The sequence below is a fragment of the Homo sapiens genome, chromosome 3, assembly GCF_000001405.40.
Source record: "Homo sapiens chromosome 3, GRCh38.p14 Primary Assembly".
In the NCBI taxonomy this organism is placed as follows: Eukaryota; Metazoa; Chordata; class Mammalia; order Primates; family Hominidae; genus Homo; species Homo sapiens.
Genome location: NC_000003.12, coordinates 51,844,318 through 51,846,005, shown reverse-complemented (window position 1 = coordinate 51,846,005; position 1,688 = coordinate 51,844,318).

Sequence of the window (1,688 nt, the reverse complement as noted above, 5' to 3'; positions counted from 1 at the left end):
GCAACATGGGGGCTGGAGAAGTGGTGAGTGAAATGGAGACTCAATCCTCTCGCTGTCATTTCTACGCCTCTTCATCCACAGACTTCTGAGCTCATGGGAAACCATGCCTCCACCTCTGTTGCTCCCAGGGGTTGGTAAGATCGGCCTTGGTTTCCATGACCTTTTCCTCCCTTTTTCAGGACAGACCAGCAAGCAGTGGCTCCCTTCCACCCTTCCCTCCCTGCCGGGGCTGGGACACAGGGCCCAAGGTGCCCCAGGCAGCTAGCTGGCATATTCTGCCACGTGCCCATGGAGTCTCTCCATCCCTGGACCAGGGAAGCCCGCTCTGACCCACAACAATTAAACTTGTCTCCCTGGTGGACTTGCATAAGAATAAGAGGTTCTTCTGCAGGCATTTTTAAACATTTTTTCTTTCCTTTTCTCCACCCCACCAGCAGTTAACTTTTAAGCAAGTTTTTTTTCCCCCCTTTTAGAAGACATTTTACTAGGCCAGCCCCTGGAACTATCACTGTTTATATTCTCTGTAAAGCTTTAATTGCGAAAAAGGATTTGCGGGGCTGGTCTTAAGCTATAGCCGATCTGGTGTGTTTTGCATGTCTATATGGCTCATAGCAAACTTCCCTGCAAGCCTCCATCTTGTTTTACATCCTGAGGGCATGGCTTGTAACTCTGGGGGCAAGGCTTTGTTTAGCAATCCTGCCTTAAGGAAAAAGTTCCTTTCTGGCCCTGTTTCTTAAAGGGCTCCACCCAGCGACTGGGTTTTCTCCTGCCTGTCGTTGTGTGTGTGTGTGTATGTGCGTGTGTGTGTGTTTGTGTGTGATGTCTGTAAAAAGAGCTATAATTAATTTGGCCTAAAGAAAAACAAACGCTTGGATCCAATATTTTTTTAAAGAGAAGATAAAATATGTAGTACCTTTCAGTTCATGTGACTAATCTTTGAGAAATAAAAACAGCCTTAAAGATTACTGGTAAAATGCAGATGTCATTAAAATGTAAATAGGTGAACTAGATTATGCAGGTTGGATGCAAGGTTTACTAAATGTTTTAAGGTGATAAACTGCTTTTTGGGTTTTGACAACTATTTGATTTACTGGCTTCACAACTGATAAGGCCTGGGGACATATGGAACTAACCACACCGTTAATTAAGAAGGCAAACCTTGTCTGCACCTAGCACAAAATTAAAACAATGTACCAGGTTTTACATTAAAATTAAAAATTGCTAGGAGTTACCATTGTAACATGTAATTGAGACTACTGGAAATAGATTTACATGCAAGGTGTGTAAGAACAATAAAATGTGTTTTTCAGCAAAAGGTTGTAAGAAGGCATGGAAATGGAAATTTTTGCCTAGGGTTAAAGAATTGTTTTAAATTAGTTAAGATAAAGCTGAAGGTTCAAACAAGTGGTGGAAGGATTGTGGAAATTAATCTTGCAAAGGAGTTCTCTGTGTGAACGTATTGACTAAGTTCAAAAGGTATTATATGGTATTTCTGTAAGTGGAGCATTGAAATAAAAGCACAACGAGGTATTCTTAAGGCACTAATCTGCTCTTCGGCAAAGTTTGTAAAGGATTATAGAAGGTTTTTGCTTCTTTAAAATTTTGGAGTCATCATTTTGGCAAAATAAATAGTTTATGGTAATCTGGAATTCTATTTCATAATATCAAGTTTTTATTTATTTATTTTT